The following is a 21038-nucleotide window of genomic DNA, read 5'->3' as shown; positions in this document are numbered from 1 at the left end:
ATCATCAAGGACACTGAACAAAGCTGTGCAAGTGGGGGCCTGTAAACACTCTACTTTCCCCATAACTTTCATCTTAGTGAGGCCCAGTGGGGAGACAAACCTCCACATTCAATTGGCGTCCACAAGACTGAACAGTGCAGTAGGAGGAAAGACTAGTTGGTATTCACGTCCCTGCTGCTGCTGCCCCAAGCAACAGGGGAGCTTCAAGGGGAGCTGAGCCTCCACACTCATTTGCCATCAATGAAGCAGAATGAGGGGGTGTGAAGCAGGATAGTCAACATTCCCATTTCCCAATCCCCTGGTGTCAATGGGGTCCAGTGGGGAGCTGAACTCCCAACTCCACCTGTATGAGGAGGAAAGAGGTGGTGGGGAGTGGGAGGCTTGGCATTACACTTTCCACCTTCTCCTCCCCTGAGGACCACAGGGCCCAGCCGGGAATGAGCTTCAGTCACACCTTGCAGAAACAAAGCAGTGTGAGTTGCCCTCTACTTCTTCCTAGGTGGCAGTGGGGCCCAGATTTGTTTTTTCTCATGTTGCTGATCTTATCCCCCCGACTCAAAGGCAACATGACAGTGCAAGGCAATGTTCCACTTTTACCACAAAGATGTCAAACAGAACTGGTGAGAGAGCTGAAATTCCACTTCGTCATCTGGACTGAGGCAGTGTTTCGAAGCACCCAACTTTTGTTGGGGTGGTGTCAGTGAGGCTGAACAGGGAGCTGGGCATATACACTCACCTGGCTCCTGGCTAATGCTTCAAGAAGAACACTGCCTGACAAGCGAGAAAGAAAAGGACCCAAAATGTCCAGAATACAGTTGAAAATCACTTGTCATACCAAGAATGAGGAAAATCACAACTTGAATCATAAGAAACAATCAACAGACATCAAAATGGAGATAAATGATATGCTGAAAATTTCCAATAAGGACTTTAATTATAATGTGTCTTGGCACTGATTCCTAGAATAACTGGAATCATACAGAGAATGTTCTCTGCCCACAATGAAATCAAACTAGAAATCGATAACAGAAAGACAGCAGGAAAAACTCCAAAGACTTGGGAAATTGAACGTCAAACTTATAAATAAATCATGAGTCAAATAGGAAGTCTCAAAGGAAATTACAAAACACACAGAACTGAATAAAATGAAAATATATCAAAATATATATAAGATGGTGGTAAAGCAGAGATTTGTAAGAAATTTCTATCACTTAATGCTTATGTTAGAGGAGAGGAAAGATCTCAAATTAGTAATACAGATTTCAACCTAAGTAAACTAGAAAAATGAGAGCAAAGCACACACAAAACAAGCATTGGACAGATAAAAATAAGAACATAAGTCAGTAAGATTAAAAATGGAAAACAACAGTGCAAATCAGTGATATAAGAAGCTGGCTCTGTGAAGAAAATTAATAAAATTGATAAACCTCTAGCAAGACTGACAAAAATTTTAAAAAGACACAAATCACCCATATCAGGAATGAAACACAGCTATCACTACAGATCTGGCAAGACTGACAAAAATAAAAAAAAGACACAAATCACCCATATCAGGAGTGAAACAGGAGCTATCACTACAGATCTGGCATCCATTTAAAGGATAACAAGGAACTAATACAAACAAATTAGAAATTGTTGACATAAATTTGACAACTTAGAAGAAATGGATCAAATCCTTGAACACTGCCAACTACCAAGACTCAACCAAGATGAATGAGACAACCTGAACAGTTCTATAAAAATTAAAGAAATTGAATTAATAAACAAAAAGTTCCCCAAAAGAAATCTCCTGGCTTAAATGACGTCACTGGAGAATGCTACCGAACATTTAAAGAAGAATGGGCACCAATTTTCCACAATGCCTTCCAGAAAATAGAAGAAGGAACATTTCCCACCTCCTTTTATGGGGCTAACATTACCCTGATACCAAAAGCAGATAAAGAGAGTACAAAAAGAGAAAACTATAGTCCCACATCAATCCTGAACTTAGGAAAAAAATCCTCAACAAAATACGAGCAAATCAAATCCAGCAATGCATAAAAAGAATTATACACCACTACCAAATGAAATTTATTATAGGTACAGGCTGGTTTAACATTAAAAAATCAATCAATATAATCCACCACACCAACAGGCTAAAGAAGAAAAATCATATGATCATATCAATTAACACAGAAAAAGCATTAGATAAAAAAATTCAACACTGACTCATGATAAAAACTCTCAGCAAGTTAAGAATAGAGGGGAACTAATTCAACTTGTTATGGAAAACTTGCTGCTAACATCATACTGAAAGGTGAAAGACTGAATGCCTTCTCCCTATGGTCAGGAAGAAGGCAAAGACTCTGCTCTTGTGACTCTTATTCTGCTTGGTAGAAGTTTTAGGCTACTATGATAAGGCAAGAAAAAAAAAATAACAGCATATGAATTGGAAAAGAGGAAATAGAACTGTCCTTATTTGCAGACATGATTGTTTATGTAAGAAAATCCCAAGGAATCACCAAAAACTTCCCAGAATGGAAAGTGAGTTCAGCAAAGTAGTAAGGCATAAAATCAACATACAAAAATCAATTGCATTTCTATACACAAACAAAAAACATGTGGAAACTGCATTTAAAAACACAATACCTAGGCCAGGTGTGGTGGCTCATGCCTATAATCCCAGCACTTTGCAAGGCCAAGGCGGGCAGATCACCTGAAGTCAGGAGTTTGAGACCAGCCTGGGCAACATGGCGAAACCGTCTCTGCTAAAAATACAAAAATTAGCTGGGCGTGGTGGCAGGCGCCTGTAATCCCAGCTACTCAGGAGGCTGAGGCAGGAGAATTGCTTGAATCTGGGAGGTGGAGGTTACAGTGAGCTGAGTTCATGCCACTGCACTCCCATCCTGGGCAACAGAGTGAAACTCCATCTCAAAACAAACAAACAAAAAAACCACAATACCAGTTAAAATCTCCCCAAAGAAAATGAAATACTTAAGTATAAACTTAAAACATGTATGAATCTGTATGCTGAAAATTATAAAATTCTGATGAAATAAATCAAAGATATAAAAAAAGAGAAACGTGATTATAAATTAGAAGATGCAACAAAGTAAAGATGGCAATCTCCTCAAATTGATTTACAAATTTAATTCTTATAAAAATCCCAGTAATATTTTTTGCTGACATAAATAAGCTTATTTAAAGTCACAGGTCCTATCTAAGATGATCCTGAAAAAGAGGGTAAGTGGGAAGAATCACTCTATCCAATACTAGGCCTATTACATAACTACAGTATTCATGACAGGGTGGTATTGGTGGATGGACAGATATATAGATCAGTGAAACCCAACAGTGAATCTACAAACACATTCACATAGCTTCAGGGCACTGGGATAGATGAAAAGTTCTGAAGACTTGACAGCAAAAGTGTAATCCATAAAAGAATAATTGGACTTCATGAAAATTAAAAACTTTTTCTCAGAGAAAGATCATATGAAGAAATGGAAAGGTAAGTTACAGAGTGGGAGAATGTATCTGCAAACCACGTATCAGAGCAAGATCTAGTATCTAGAGTATATAAAGAACTCTTAAAACTCAACAGTAAAAAAAAATAGTGGATAAAAGACATGCACAGATATGTAAAAAGAGAATATGCAGATGGCAGATAAGCACATGAAAAGAGGTTATCATCATTAGCCATTAAGGAAATGCAAATTAAAACCACAAAAGACACCACTATAGAACTGCTCTAATGGCTAAAATAAATACTGATAAAACCTAATGCTGGTGAGGATGTAGAGAAACTTGATCACTCGTACATTGCTGGTAGGAATGTAAAATGGTACAACTACTCTGGAAAACAGTTTGGCGGTTTCATATAAAGTCAAACATGCAACTATCATATGACCTAGAAAGTAAATTCTTGGGTATTTATCCCAAAGTAATAAAAACCCATCTACACACAAAAATCTGTACATGAATGTTTACAGCAGCTTTATTCATAATAGCCCCAAACTGGAAAGAATCCAGACACCCTTCAGTGAATGAACTGATAAACACACTGTGGTACATCCATACCACGGAATACTACTCAGCAATAAAAAGGACTCAACTATTGGTACACACAACAACCTGGATGAAACTCAAAGGAATTAGGCTGACTGAAAAAAGTCACTCCTAAAAGGTTACATACTGTATGATTTTATATACATAACATTTTTGCGATGACAAAATTATAGAACTGGGGAACAGATAGTGGTTGCCACAGGCCAGAGTTAGGAGTGTAGGTGGGTTTAACTATAAAGGAAGTAGGAGGGATCCTGTGTTGATGGAACTGTTCTGTATTTTGACCAAAACAATGTCAATATCCTGGCTGTGATATTATTATTACACAATAGTTTTTCAAGCTGCTACTATTGGTGGAAACTGGATAAAGGGTAAATATGATTCCTCTGTATTATTTCTTATATTTGCATGTGAATGTACAATTATCTCAATATTTTAATTAAAAATGTATATATAATCAAAGAGAAAGAGCCATACATAAAGCCTAAGCAAGGGTCATCCAGCAAAGGTCAGGGCAACACAAGGCAGGCAAATAGTAGGGTGCATGGCATATGCTGTGGGGCCTGGCAGGGTACGGGCCCTGTGTGGAAAATACAGCCGAGTTGGGTGATGGCCTGGCAGGGTTGAGAGACTGGTTAGGAAAAGTACGGCTGAGTAAATAAGCAAACATACTGGGGATAATAAGAGCCAGGTTTCTCATTCTTACATAATTATAAATGGGAACAGCTATAAAGATGGTGTAATAATGGATTAGAATTGAAAGTATTGGCCAGGCGTGGTGGCTCATGCCTGTAATCCCAGCACTTTGGGAGGCAGAGGCGGGCGGATCACGAGGTCAGGAGATCCAGACCATCCTGGCTAACCGGTGAAACCCCATCTCTACTAGAAATACAAAAAATTAGCCGGGCGTGGTGGCGGGCGCCTGTAGTCCCAGCTACTCGGGAGGCTGAGGCAGGAGAATGGCGTGAACCCGGGAGGCGGAGGTTGCAATGAGCCAAGACTGTGCCACTGCACTCCAGCCTGGGCGACAGAGCGAGACTCCGTCTCAAAAAAAAAAAAAAAAAAAGAAAGTATTGGCTGGGCATGGTGGCTCACGCCTATAATCCCAGCACTTTGGGAGGTTGAAGCAGGCAGATTACTTGAGGTCAGGAGTTCAAGACCAGCCTGGCCAACATGGTGAAACCCCGTCTCTACTAAAAAAATTAGCTGGGCGCAGTGGCGGGTGCCTGTAATCCAAGCTACTTGGGAGGCTGAGGCAGGAGAATTGCTTAAACAGAGGAGGCGGAGGTTACAGTGAGCAGAGATTGCACCACTGCACTCCAGCCTGGGAAACAGAGCGAGACTCTGTCCAAAAAAAAAAAAAAAAAGAATTGGAAGTACCAAAGTGAACTTGTGGTTTTCAATATATATAGACAGAAACAGAAATAAATATACAGTTGACTCTTGAGGTTTTAACTGAGCTGGTCCACTTATATGCAGATTTTTATCAACCAAAAGGTACTGAAAATACAGTATATGCAAGATGCAAAACCCTTTAGTATGGGTGGGTACCACAGAGGAGACTGTGAGACTTGAGTATGCATGGATTTGGTATACCGGGGGTGGGAGGGTCCTGGAACCAATCCCCTGTGTACAAGGAGGGATGACTGTACCCGTAAAAATGGACAGGTACATATGTATATGTATGAACACATATTTCCCAGCTTTGTCCCCTAAAAGGGGTTGGGAATCATGATATACCAGTAGTAGTGAGCATACCAGATCTTGGTTATATTTCCTACTAAAAAGAACCAAGGCTCCTTGAAGAAATGGCTGATTTCTGGGCCAGGGCAAGAAGAGAATAAAATGAGCTGGAAGATCTTGCTGTGCCAGAGAGTGAGGAATATAGGAATGGTGGGGACATGTAAAATGGACATTGTAAACAGCTTGATGGGGTTCTTACTGTCCAAATATGGGGAAACTGAAGCATCCAAATAAATCATAGTAAAGGATTACAATCCACTGAACAAAATAGGAATCCACGCTAAATAAATAAATAATCGAACAAATAATGGGAAATTCTTCCTTACACTAGAATGCTAACTAATAAAAACAGAAGGAATAATGAAATTAGAAAATCTCCAGTTATCGGAGGGTTGGGCAGGCGAAGAAAATCTCCAGTTATCTATCACAGTAATAATTAATTCAGGCAAGAAACAGCAATAGATGCTAAAACTGCTAGGTAAAAGTTGGATGTGGAACAGGATATTTACGTAGTCTGAAATCATCTCTCCTTAAAATATTAACTATGAGGGGAGAAAGAATAATTTATAATGGATAAACTTTGGCAGACACCACTTTACTGATGTGATCAAACTAAACATAACCAGTGACGGGGCAAAATGACATCTTGTGTTATCTGTGACCCTTCTACCAAAAATGCATAATCTCAGTCTTATCATGAGGAAACAGCAGACAAACCCAAACTGAGGAACATGTTACAAAAAAAAAATTGTCTATAATCTTAAAAAATGTTAAGGTCATAAAGGTCAAGAAAGGAGTGACTAGGGCCTTTGAAAGGGATTTAAAAAACATTACCAGAATCATTTTCCTATTAAAGGATATTATTGGGACTGCTGACAAAACTTGAATGGGGGTCTCTGAGTGAACAGAATGTAGGAGTTCTTTTGTGTGCTTTTCTTGTACCTTTACTGTAAGTTTGAAATTATTTCAAAATAAAAAAATTAACATCACAAAAAGCAAGACAATCATACAGCCTGGGCATCCTGAGGGAGGAATATAGCACTGCCCATGAAACAGTCTTGTTAATTAAAAAAAATCTGACTAGACTCTACATCTATCTACCAATTTATAGAAAATATCATGTCGATATTATCAGCAAAATACAGGTTGTGGCAAACTCCACAAGGCAAAAAAACCTGTTTTCTCCAACAAATAAACTGTAAGGAAAAAGAGACAGAGGGAAGCCCAAGTTTAAAAGAGATTGAAAGCCGGGCACGGTAGCTCACGCCTGTAATCCTAACACTTTCAGAGGCTGTGGTAGGTGGATCACCTGAGGCCAGGAGTTTGAGACCAGCCTGGCCAATATGGCTAAACCCTGTCTCTACTAAGAAAACAAAAATTAGCCAGGCATGGTGGCGCATGCCTGTAATCCCAGCTACTCGGGAGGCTGAAACATGAGAATCGCTTGAACTTGGGAGGCAGAGGTTACAGGGAGCTGAGATGGTGCCACTGCACTCCAGCCTGGGAGACAAAAAAGAAAAGAGATTGAAGCTAAATAGCAACCAATTACAATGTATTGACTTTTTTTGGATCCCAATTCAAACAAATTATACACACACAATATATACATGTATAATTATATCTATGGTATATCTATAAGACAATTAGAAAATTGAACACTGTTTAGATATTTGATGATATCAAGTAAATAATGTTGATTATTTGAGGTATGGTAGTAATAATGTGGTTTATTATTATTATTATTATTTTTTTTTTTTGAGATGGAGTCTCACTCTGTCACCCAGGCTGGAATGCAGTGACATGATCTTGGCTCCCTGCAACCTCTACCTCCCGGGTTCAAGCAATTCTCCTGCCTCAGCCTCTCGAGTAGCTGGGATTACAGGCATACGCCACCATGCTCGGCTAATTTTTTTGTATTTTTAGTAGAGATGGGGTTTCACCATATTGGCCAGGCTGGTCTCGAACTCCTGATCTTATGATCCACCCACCTCAGTGTCCCAAAGTGCTGAGATTACAGGCGTGAGCTACCGCGCCCAGCCAATGATGTGGTTATTTAACAAAATGACGCGATGCCTTGAGTTTGCTTCAAAGTAATACTGATGCAGGGAACTGAGTGAGAGAAGTGAGTGGCTGAGATTGTTAAAGCTGGGTTATGGTACATATTTGAGGGATGATGCATATATGGGGGATGATACAAATATGGGGATCTTTATTTTATTCTGTATACTTTTGTGTTTGAAATTTTCTGTAATAAAAGTTTTTTTATTTTTTATTTTTTAATTTTTTTATGGCCGGGCATGGTGGCTCACTTCTGTAATCGCAGCAGTTTGGGAGGCTGAGGCAGGCGGGTCATTTGAGGTCAGGAGTTCAAAACCAGCCTGGCCAACATGGTGAAACCCCATCTCTACTAAAAACACAAAAATGAGCCGGGCGTGGTGGCATGCACCTGTGGTCCCAGCTACTCAGGAGGCTGAGACAGGAGAATCTCTTGAACCTGAGAGGCGGAGGCTGCAGTGAGCCAAGATTGCATCACTGCCCTCCAGCCTAGGCAACAGAGTGAGACGCCATCTCAAAAAATAAAAAAAAAGTAAATTTTTTTTAAGTAGTAGAATCAAGATTTAACTCTAGTTCTGTCTCACTCCACAGCTACTTCTTGATAAGTTTTCTGTTTTCCTTTAAAAATAAATACTTTATGTATCCCCCCAATTAAATTTTCCCATGAATCATTATATAACATTTAAAAAAATACTTCCCATCCACAAACATAATAAAGTATAACTATCTTTATAGATGAGATATGCTTTAATAAAATTAGCTATAAAGCAGATGTTATTTGTCTAGATTTTTTCCTAATTAAAAATTAGCTGCATTTATACTAAGAGGAAAATTTTAATTAAAAAATGTTTTTTGGAAAGGTAAAAATCAGCATACCTAGTGGATCACAATACAGGTGGTACAACCTTCCTGGGGGTATTTGGAAATATGCCGGGTTTTTTCATTGTCACTGGAACCTGGGGATGCTACTGGATTTAGTGGTAGGGGTCAGAGATGCTATATGTCTTAGGTGCTCAGAGCTCTCCAGCACAACAAAGAGTTGTCCCACCCGCAAAGCCAACAGAATTGCCATTGAGAAACACCAACTAAGAGGTAACATTTACAACAGAAGAAAGAAAAGGGAAAAAGGTTTGTCTGACTCAGACTTGTTGGCTGAAGAGTTACTCAGGGGGAAAGAAACATTATTCTAGAAGGGAAGCAGCCACTAGACATCTAGAAGGGAAGCAGCCACTAGACATCATTCTTGTGTTTGTTTTAGACAGTACTTCTTTCTAAGACCAGGGAAACTAACACATTAAGTCTGGCACCTAGAAGCTGTCCACAAATGGTAGTTACCAGTAGTATTAGTGCCTCTAGGGCCAAACACAGCAAAGACAGATGAAGGAGTATCTACAAGCATACGGAGTTTAGACAAGATGAGAAGTGGGAAACAATGGTTTTCTTGATGAGAGAGAACGCCCCCTGGTGGAGTGGTCAGATTCCAGCAAGAACACAACAGAACTGACTTGTTCCTAGCAAGTGTTGAACTCAATACCTTTAGTTAGACCCTTACTCCTTTACTCTTCTTCCTATCATCTAATCCATACTTAGGGGAGAAATCCTTCAAAGTTCTCCATACAGTAGGACTAAAGTGAAGGTGGGCAAAGCCCCAAGGGGGCAGTTAGAAAATACTGCAAGTGGTACTGCCAAGAGAAATTACTTAACATCTCCCTTGGCTAACTGCCGGTGGTGGTAGCAAGACCAGCAATATCTAAAGCAGAAGCAGGGAGGCTCCCAGCTCAGAGCTTGTGATGGTCAGGACGAGTAAAGGGCAAATGTGGTAGTAAGAGTTCAAGTCACGACACTTGTCCTTGCCTGGGGTGTCATATAAAAAGCAAAATGGCATGGGAGAAAAGACACTGGGAGAAGTAGGGCTGGAGTGCTTCTGGATGTGCTAAGTGGCACTTACAACTAATGAAAGGAGAACAAAATTAAAGTTTGATTCATAAGTAGGCCTTTGATGATAGGAACAAATGCATAATCTCAGCTGATGATAATTATGCAGGAGACAAACACTGTTTGCAATACTCCTTCTTAAAAGGCCAAGGCCATTATTCAGGATTTTGAAAAGGAATTCTAACAGGCCAAGATGGTAAGGCAGTAAGTAATACTTGCAACCTGGGATTCCAATATGAAGAAGAGAGCCTTTTCTTTTGTGTCCATTCATATAGCTACTTTTATTAAATGCCAGCTTGCACAGAGAGACAAAAAGTGTATTAAAGAGACATTACCTTTCATGTTTGCAACACACTCGCTGTTATTCACCAAGGTAGAATATGGTTGTTCATTCTGAGGCAAGACTCCTGCAGCCATGGTAGTCTGTTGGAAAAAAAATTATTTTTTGAAAGTTTGCCTTGGGACAGTCATTTATTAATCACCCAAAATATGGCTAGACCTTTGTTATCCAATGCTGCAGTCACTGGCCAAGTGGCAGATACTTGAAATATGGCTAGTCAGGTTGAGATGTGCTGTTAAGTGTAAAATACACACAAGATGCTGAAAATTTAACACAAAAAATACAATGTAAAATACCTCAATAATTTTTACATTAATTACACATGCTAAATTTCATGGCTAACAGATTATTGTATTGCTCAAATGATACAGTTTCCATTGAGAAAAGTTAATTAAATCTTCTTAGATGTCAAAAAACCAAAAATTATACTTATTAAGTTATTTCTATGTGCCAGACACCAGTATTAAGTCACTTTTTTCTAAAAAGAACTCTACGAAGTAGCTATCATCCCCTATTTTAAAGGGGTAGAAGTCATGTCAGTAGGATTAACACACACTAAGTAGTAGGGTGGTAGTTAATCCCATCTTTCAGCTTCCAGTTCAGTTTTTTCAATTAGTACACAGCTGCGGATGAAAGAAATTCTAATAAAGATGATCTCAACATTTTTGAGCTTCCAGATAAACAACTGTGTAATTCAACTTTGTAGTTCCTAAGTGTACCTCAATGTAAATATTGATGAAAACAAAACTCAGTTGTGGAATTTTATAAATGACAAAACTATTTCCATAAAATGCAAGCACATAACCCAGAAAAGTTTATGGAGTTGACTGTGATACAAGATAAAATAACACGATTCAAACGTTTTTTCTAAATAATGATTTTAATAATTTTCTTGGCAAAACCATGTTTACGGTTTGAACATCTATTATTGGGAGGTCAAATATTATACTTTTATTAGCTTATTAAATGGCTATGAATTTTATTTAAAGGCAATAAAAACTTGTTGAAATTCTTGTACCAATAAATCTACAATGGTAATTAAATCCAGCCCTAATTAATATTTTTCTTTGGTGCACTGGATCATTCCTCTGAGAAAAAAGTCACTTCTCAAATCTCAGTGATTCTTTGAGAATTTCAAGTTCACTAAAATTTTACTTCTAAAAGCAATCTTTATACGCTCAAAAAAGTACAAAATTTAAAATCTAAAATCCTATTTGATAAAGCTGTTTCCCTTCAAAAGAAATACAGGAATTAAAATCACAGGGGTGATCTAAAGTGAAATTAAAAAGAATGCTTCCTGAAATATTAATAATGTCACACACCAGGTATCATACTAATTAATGCAAAATTTTATAATGTGCATAGTATTTCAAATGAACGTTACATAAAGACATTAAGTAAAGGGACTAATGGAACAAGTTGTTCCAGGAAATTCATTAGCAAAAACTTAATTTGAAAGGATATCCATTAAGATTAGACTTAGATAAAACATTTTTTACCATATTTTAAAATTTGGACTATTTTCTTAAAACATTTTGATGAGAAAAACAATTATCACCATATTAGAATCATGGAATTTTGGAGCAGCTGGGACGCTAGCCCTGGCTATTTTGTATATAAGAAGTTATGAACCATGTCCCAGAGAAGGTCCTGCCTTGTCCCACATGATACAGCATGGAGAGTGACAGAGCATGCTGGTGACAAACTTGGACCAGTCATCACTTTTTTTGTGAAGCTTTCCCTGCCCTCACTCTTTGCTCTTCAGCTATAATGTAATGAAACATGTATACCTGACAGTCTCCCCTGTAGACCATGGGGTCATGAGGATGAGTTATGACTGGTTCACCTTTATGTCTCTAGAGAATGGAAAAGCCAGTATATAGGTACCCTCGTGACACAACTGTCAAACTGAAATGGACCATATTAGACTGAGTTCCTTGAGTCTATTCACGTCTTATTTATCTCTGTATCCTAAAGCCTACCGAAAACATGTCTAATATGGTTTGGATCTGTGTCCCCACCCAAATCTCATGTCAAATTGTGTTCCCCAGTGTTGGAGGTGGGGCCTGTGGGAGATGACTGGATCATAAGGATGGATCCTTCATGAATGGTTTTGCATCATCTCCTTGATGTTGTGGTAGAGTTCTCATGATATCTGGTTGTTTAAAAGTGTGTAGCACCTCCCCGCCCTTCCTCCTGCTCCTGCTCCCACTTTGCCTTCCACCATGAGGCCTCCCCAAAAGCAGATGCTGCCATGCTTCCTGCACAGCCTGCAGAACCATGAGGCAATCAGACCTCTTTTCTTTAGAAATTACCCAGTTTCATGTATTTCTTTATAGCAATGCGAGAATGGACTAATAAAGATACTTGAAAATGTGGAGGCAGCTTTGGAACTGGGTAATGGGCAGAGGTTGGAAGAGTGGGAAGGGGTCAGAAGACTGGAAGATGAGGGAAAATTTGGAACTTCCTAGAGACTTGTTGAATGGTTGTAACTAAAATGCTGATAGTGATATGGAAAGTGAAGGCCAGGCTGAGGAGGTCTCAGATGGAAATGGGGAATTTACTGGGAACTGGAGCAACAGTCACTTTTGTTAAACCTTGGCAAAGAGCTTGGCTGGATTGTGCCCCTGCCCTAGGTATCTGTGGAACTTTGAACTTGAGAGAGAATTTAGGGTATCTAGTGGAAGAAATTTCTAAGCAGCAAAACATTCAAGAAGTCACCCGGCTGCTTCTAAAAGCCTATGCTCATATGCATGAGCAAAGACATGACCTGAAACTAAAACTTATATTTAAAAGGGAAGCAGAGCATAGAAGTTTGGAAAATTTGCAGCCTGGCCATGTGGTAGAAAAGAAAAGTCCATTTACAGGAGAGCAATTCAAGCAGGCTGCAGAAATTTGCACAACGAAAAGGAAGGCAAGTGCTGATAGCCAAGACAATGGGAAAAACGCCTTGAAGGCATTTCAGAGACCTTCCAGGTAGCCCCTCCCAACACAGGCTCAGAGGCCTAGGAGGAAAGGATGGTTCTGTGGGCTATGCCCAGGGCCCTGCTGCCCTGTGCAGCCCCAGGACACTGCTCCCTGCACCCCAGCAGCTCCAGCTGTAGCTAAAATGGGCCCAAGTACAGTTGAGGACACTGCTTAAGAAGGTGCAGGCCGTAAGCCTTGGTGTCTCCCATGTGGTGTTAAGCCTGCAGGTGCACAGAATGCAAGAGCTGAAGCTTGGGAACCTCCACCTAGATTTCAGAGGATATATGGAAAAACCTGAATGTCCAGGCCGAAGCCTGCTGCAGGGGCAGAGCCCTCATGGAGAACTGCTACCAGGGCAGCACAGAGGGGAAATGTGGGGTTGGACCCCCTACACAGAGTCCCCACTGGGGCACTGCCTAGTGCAGCTGTGAGAAGAAGGCCACTGTCTTCCAGACCCTGGAATGACAAAGTCTCCAGCAGCTTGCACCCTGTGTCTGGAAAAGCCATAGGCACTCAATGCCAGCCCATGAGAGCAGCCTTAAGAGATGAACCCTGCAAAGCTACAGGAGCCGAGCTGCCCAAGGCCTTGGGAGCCCACCCTTTGCATCAGTGTTCCCATGGAGTATTTTGGAGCTTTAAGGTTGAATGAGTGCCCTGCTGGGTCTCAGACTTGCATGGAGCTTGTAGCCCCTTTCTTTTGGCTGATTTCTCCTTTTCGGAATGGGAGTATTTACCCCATGCCTATATCCCCATTGTATCTTAGAAGTAACTAATCTGGTTTTGATTTTACAGGCTCACAGGTGGAAGGTACTAGCCTTGTCTCTGATAAGACTTTGGACTTTTGAGTTAGTGCTGGAATGAGTAAAGACTTTGGGGGTACTGTTGGAAAGGCATAAGTGTATTTTGCAACGTGAGAAGGACATGAGATTTGGAGGGGCCAGAAGTGGAATTGTATGGTTTGGATCTGCATCCCCACCGAACTCTCATGTGGAATTGTAATCCCCAATGTTGAAGGTGGGGCTTGGTGGGAGGTAACTGGATCATGGGTGGGGGCAGAGTTCTCATGAATGGTTTAGCATGATCCCCCTTTGGTAGTGTATAGTGAGTGAGTTCTCATGGGATTCAGCTGTTTAAAAGTGTGTAGCACCTCCCCCTGCCTTCCTCCTGCTTCTGTCATGTAAGATGCCTGCTCTTGCTTTGCCTTCTGCTATGAGTAAAAGCTCCCTGAGGCTTCCCCAGAAGCCGATGCTGCCATGCTTCCTGTACACCTGCAGAACTGTGAGCCAATTAAACCTCTTTTCTTTATAAATTACTCAGTCTCTGGTATTCCTTTATAGCAACGGGAGAACAGACTAACACAATGACTATTTAAAAAGTATATGTTGAGTTAATTGTCCTCTTCTGGGTTACAATTATGGACTACTTTAAAGACTTATTTCTAACTAATCCTTCAGAAACTTTAAGTTGTAAGGAACCTCAGAAGTTCCTCTCGGAGAATCCTAACCAAATGTGAGCACACTCTCCACAATATCTTTGTCTAAACAGTAACAGTGACATCATTACACAGCTCTGGTAGCCAGAAAGCTTTTTATAATATTACCACTCTGTAATTTCTACCCACTGGTCCTATTTCTGCTCACACAGAACAATACACCCTTTCTTCCATATATCTAAAGCTAGTGATCATGCTCCCCTCACTTCTGATATATAGCTTCCCAGATGATACATCAGCAGTTCCCTTTACCTTTTGTCATAAGTAATGTTTCTAGATCTCCTCATCAGCTTGGATGCTCTTTTCTATATATATACTCTATAGTTATTAATATTCTAGTGCCCAGAACTGAAGTCTAGTCCCCAGATGTGGAACAATCATCAAAAATCAAAACAAAACCAGTCACCTTCCTTATCTGAAAAGTTTATGTGGCTTATTATCACATTAGCATTTTCAGCAATCTCAAGACACATCAGGATACAACAACAGTCAAAGAATAAAGCTGGTCCATATATTTTGATGCTAAAAAAGATATTCATTAGGGATAATTAAACATATATGAAAGTTTCAAGTGAATAAATGGTATAGAATGAAAAATAAAAGTCTCCACCTTCTATCCCCCCAAGCCAAGTTTTATCCCACAGAAGTAGACCATTTAAACTCTCACTTTAGTTATTCTGGGGCTGGGGGTAATAATCACTATACTTAGACCTCCGGTTCTTATGCTACCGTCTTTAAACCATACTACTGAATTCCTGATTTAAAGATGAGGAAACTGCCTCATTTACCATACTTTCCATCATGCCAACCTTCCCCTATTTAATACATCAAAATATTTGTCTTCTGATTATCTCTGTAATTTTAAATTCTGATTATCTTTGTAAATTTTAAAGGTGAATATCCTCTAACCAATCTCTTGTTCTATCAATTTTAAACAGTATCTTGATTCCCTCTATGTAAATTAGTTAACTTACACTACTGTCCACTTTATTTTCCCCTCCACTTTCAAGTTCTGCCAACCATACCATTTTTATATGAAGATTTTTAACTTTTAAATTTCAGTTAATCTATAATTTCCTCAAGCTTTGTCTGTAGGCTTATTCTAAATGTGAGACAAAATACAATTGTTATTACTATCATATATAATACATATACACATATAATCTGTGAACACATACTTTTTTTTTACCATCTTGTATCACCAAACTATGTGACGCTTTAAGTAAGATATCGCAAGGATAAGTGTCAAATGGATTATCTTTTCTTTCACTCCAACAGTTGCTTAAAATAAAGGCATATTTTGTTTTGTTGTAAATTTGGACAGTATGTTTCTTATATAGACTTTCCTGGGTTTTTTGTTTGTTTGTGAGACAGAGTCTCATTCTATTGCCCAGGCTGGAGTGCAGTAGCACAATCTCGGCTCACTGCAACTTCTACCTCCTGGGTTCAAGTGATTCTGCTACCTCAGCCTCCCAAGTAGCTGGGACTACAGGCATGTGCTACCATGCCCAGCTAATTTTTTTTGTATTTTTATAGAGATGGGGTTTTGCCATGTTGGCCAGGCTGGTCTCGAACTCCTGACCTCAGGTGATTTACCCGCCTGGGCCTCCCAAAATGTCCGGGGTTTTTAATAGCTTTTTTGTTTGTTTTTTGAGACAGAGTCTTGCTCTGTCCCCCAGGCAGGAGTACAGTGGCACAATCTCGGCTCACTGCAACTTCCCCCTCCAGGTTCATGCAATTCTCCTGCCTCAGCCCTCCGAGTAGCTGGGATTACAGGTGCATGCCACTACACCCGGTTAATTTTTGTATTTTTTTTTTTTCAGTAGAGATGGGATTTCACCATGTTGGCCAGGCTGGTCTGGAACTCCTGACTTCAAGTGATCCGCCCGCCTCAGCCTCCCAAAGTGTTGGGATTACAGGTGTGAGCCACCGCGCCTGGCCCAATAGCTTTTTTCTTACTGACTAAAGTAATATATATCTTCAACACAGCTTCTTAATCATACTATCATAATCATACTACCTACTTGCTTTTTGAAGATATTTTTCTTCTGAGATCTTTGGATTCCTACTCCAAAGAGAAGTTTGTGCAGATCGGTACTCAACCAAACACCTTGGGCCAGCAAAGCCTTGAGGGCCCTCTGCACCTTCCTGTGCTGCTCTCACATCTCCAGGACCTGACTCTGCAAATTCTAGCCACCTTGGCCACACTGAACTCTGCTCTCTGCACACCTCTGGGAAAGCTCTGTCTTAGTCCCCCTCCCTGCACTGAAGCCTGGAAACTGCCCCCAGGGAGACAGCTGGTGCAAAGGTAAACTCACTGTGTTTGTTTCTCTTCTCTCAGAGATCTAGGTCCTCAGCTGCTTTCTTTCCAAAATCCAAAAGATATTTTATTATATATGTTGTCCAGTTTTCTAGTTGTTTTAGGCAGAAGGGTATTAATAAATATCTAATTTCTCTTATTTCATCTTGGTTGGAAGTGAAAATCCCTTCTGGCCATCTTCAAATAACTCAAACCCAGGGGAACTGTGAAATAGTGCCTAATATGCATTACCTTTGCATAAAAACATTCATTTATAGTCCAACTGTATATAACTGCTGATCAAAAATTATATTTCAAATATGTTAAACTATATTTTAGAATCAGAAATTCTGTGTTTGAGTCTTGACTCTGTTCACTGTCAGCTATATGAACAATTCTGAGCTTCAATTTCTTCTATAAAATGAGGACTATAATATTTACTCTTTTTGGTTGTTGTGAGGATGAAGAAAGGGGTGTGTGTGTGTGTTCCTACCACAACACCTGGCTTTTAAGTATTCAATAAATATTTGTTATCTTACTTTGCAAACCAGTATCCGCAATATCTTTTTGCTTTTTCCCTTCTTAGTCTGTACTCACTTCATTTCCCATCTTTATAAGAATTTGTAAAGGATTCTATTCATACCTCTCCAACACTCCTGTTAATAGTTAGTAATGGGCTGCATGCAGTGGTTCATACCTGTAATCCCAGCACTTTGGGAAGCTGAGGTGGGCAGATCGTTTGAGCCCAGGAGTTCAAAACCAGTTTGGGCAAGATGGCAAAACCCTGTCTCTACAAACAAATTAAAAAAAAAATTAGCCAGGCATGGTAGCACATGTCTGTAGTCCCAGCTACTTGGGAGGCTGAGGTGGGAGGATTACCTGATCCTAGGAGGTTGAGGCTGCAACCTCGGTGAGCTGTAATCGCGTCACTGCACTCTAGCCTCAAAAACAAAAAAGAAACAAAATGTTAGTAATGGCTAAGCTCCTTTGACTTAAAAAACATTATTTTCATTCACAACTGAACTTATATCATATGCCTGGCTGTAGAATCAGGAGAGAAGGGTTTGAATAATAACCCTGTCATTTCACTGCAAAATCGCATATTATTTATTTCTATTTCCTGTTGTCAATGACAGATATTTTTCTCACTCAGTCCTACAGTTTCCTTTTATCCCTAAAAGCACTCAAATGACTCAACTGTTTATAATTAGCCACACACTCACTAATTAGTACTGAATACTTAAAACGTAAGTGCAGGAATGGACTATTACTCATACTGTTAAGAACAGTAGAACACAAAGAATGTCCTACTTCATAAAAGTCATTTCACACAAGAGACTAGGTTCTGAGATGGACTGAAGAATTCTTAGGTCACTACTTTCCTTTCTATTTCTCAGACACATGGTGTTCTGCCAAAATCTACATGTGTATTTTCTGGACAAATTTGTGGGGAACTACATTAAGCAGTGCCTGGGAGGTCAGAAGTGGTATAATCCTTCCCAGACTCTCACAGCACTAGCTCTCTAACTCTGGAATGCACCAGGATTACGCAGGGTGCTTGTGGAAATGAAAATCTGGAGTGCAATAATCTGTATTATCAATTCACACTCTAGGTCATTCTGACGTAAGAGGCCCTCTGCTCACACTTAAATAAATATTGTCAATGTGATTAGATTCTAGACAGCAATCGTAGCAGAAGAATTTGAGGTTGAAAAACTTAAGCTTACGTAGCAAAAAATAGGAGTGGAAGCCCAACTACATGAGTGAACCTATAAAAGCCACATAAATATTTTTATGCTCATTAATAATATAATAATAATAACTAAATCACATAAGCTTACACCATGCCAGGTACTGTTCCAAGTGCTTTATATAATCTTAGCTCATCTAATCCTCAACACACATTACTGAGTACCACTAGTATTCCCATTTGTTTTTAAAATAGACTTTGTTTTTTAGAGCAGTTTTGGGTTTATAACAAAATTGAGCAGAAGGTATAGAGGCTTCCCATATACCCATCCCCTAACAGACTCCCCAACAGAGTGGTAAGTTTGTTATAATCAACTTACGCTGACACATAATTATCACCCAAAGTCCATAGTTAACATTATGTTAACTCTGTGTTGTGCATTCTGTGGGTTTAGAATGCACTCTGTGTTGTGCATTCTGTGGGTTTAGAAAAGGTATAATGATACTTACTATAGTATCATGCAGAGTGATTTCACTGCTCTAAAAATCTTCTGTGCTCCAACTATTAATCTCTCCCTCTCCTTGAAACCCTGGGAACCACTGATTTTTTGTTTTTTTATATACTTTAAGTTCTAGGGTTCATGTGCACAATGTGCAGGTTTGATAGATAGGTATACATGTGCCATGTTGGAACCACTGATCTTTTTACTGTCTCCATGGTTTTGTCTTTTCCAGAATGTCACAGGGTTGGAATCATACAGTAGGTAGCCTTCTCAGATTGATTTCTTTCACTGGACAATGTTCATTTAAGGTTCCTCCATATCTTTTCATAGCTTAATAGCTTGTTTCTTTTTAGCAGTGAATAATATTCCATAGTCTGGATACATCACAGTTTATTTATCCACTCACCTATTGAAGCACATCTTGGTTGCTTCCAAGTTTAAGCAATGATGAACAAAACCGCTATACACATTCATGTGCAGATTTCTGTGTAGACCTAAGTTTTCTGCTCATCTGAGTAAATACCAAGTAGCACAACTGCTGATTATATAGTAAGCATGTATTCAGTTCTGTATATTATTCCTGTTTATAGATGAGGAAACTAAGACAAAGAAAAGTCAAATAATTTGCCTAAAGTTACACAGTTATTAAGCACTAGAACTGGAATTTGAATTCCCACAGTTCAGCTCCAGAGTTTGTGCTGTTAAGGACTACACATATAGTTTCTGAACAATAAAGACCTATTAAATAATAAAATTTACAAAAATAGTTTTAAATATTTAATTGGCTTTTATTCACGATTCATGAACTAGGCAACATAATATTCGCTCTACAAAATAGAATGGAGCTCCACTGTGTGTGGCAGGACAATTGGCTTTTTATAAGGCAGCTGCAGCAGGAACAGGGAAACAGCCCAGTACAAAGAGCAGACTGGTTATCCTCTGGTCACTTTCCTTGTATGAGTTTAAGCAGATGTGAGTTCCTTATGCTGGCCAGGTTGACTGGGCCCCTTCCAACTGGTTGCTGCAAATCTCCTGTTTTGTTTTGCTTTTTCCTAGAAAACTGGCCCATTTGGGGATTTCCTGTTGGTTTGTGTTTTAAGTTTTAGCTTAATTATGTGGCATGTAGCATGAGTGACTCCATTTTGGTTTGGTCTATTAGAGTCTAGTGTAGAAACTCGGTCCAAATCAATGGGCTCACATAAATTTTATTTACCAAATCTGTTTTCCTTTGTGCAGATATTGATAATTTACTGATTTTTTAATCCAAATTTTTATTCACTGTTATCTCAGACAAATATCAGGAACGTGGCCCCTTTACACATTTTAGCCTTCTATCTCCTAACAGAAACAGGAATGCTAGTCTAAATGTAAGACTATAAAATCCCAACACATTTTAATAGAGGAGTTGGCACGTATTAGCTTTGTGATCTTAGGCACATTTATTAATATCTCTGAGACTTAGTACCTACCCTACTGGATCATTGTAAAGATGACTTGAGAATGTATATGCAGACCTAATTCTGTCCCCAATATGTAAGTCAGTCTATTCTCAATACAGCAGCTACAGTAATCCTGTGAACTTCAGCCAGTCATGTCACCCCTCTCTTCAAAACCCTCCACATCACCCTAATTAAAATTTAAAACACTCTCCCATTTTTCTCCATAGGACTTATGAAGAAAACACATCTAATACATTATATACTTTATTTATTTGTCCTGTCTATTGTCTGCCTTGTCCTACCGGAATGTAAGCTCCATGAGGGAATAGATTTTTTTTGTCTGCTTTGTCAACTGCTTTATCTCCAAAGCCTAGAACAGGACCTGGCACATAGTGCTACTCAGTATTTGTTGGATGTATACCTGCATAAACATTCAATAAAAGGCAGCTGCCACCACCACCACCAAAACTATCATCACTTAATCTCTCTGAATGCCGGCTTTTTCATCTGTAAGGTAGGAACAGTAATC

At 39.4% G+C, this 21038-nt stretch overlaps 1 protein-coding gene across 2 annotated transcripts in view; it reads right to left on the bottom strand.

Annotated features, from left to right (window-relative positions):
* The window catches only part of PTPDC1 (protein tyrosine phosphatase domain containing 1), a 79044-nt gene that overhangs the window by 34920 nt on the left and 23086 nt on the right, over positions 1–21038 (bottom strand). For both annotated transcript variants that reach the window (NM_177995.3, NM_001253830.2), the window contains exon 2: positions 10116–10203. In NM_177995.3, coding sequence (NP_818931.1) covers positions 10116–10197 — 82 coding nt within the window. In that variant the 5' untranslated portion in view covers positions 10198–10203. The remainder of the gene's footprint in view (positions 1–10115; positions 10204–21038) is intronic.

This window comes from Homo sapiens, chromosome 9 (genome assembly GCF_000001405.40).
Source record: "Homo sapiens chromosome 9, GRCh38.p14 Primary Assembly".
Classification (NCBI taxonomy): Eukaryota; Metazoa; Chordata; class Mammalia; order Primates; family Hominidae; genus Homo; species Homo sapiens.
The sequence above is the reverse complement of the archived record's forward strand: the minus strand, read 5'-3'. Positions and strand labels throughout refer to the sequence as shown.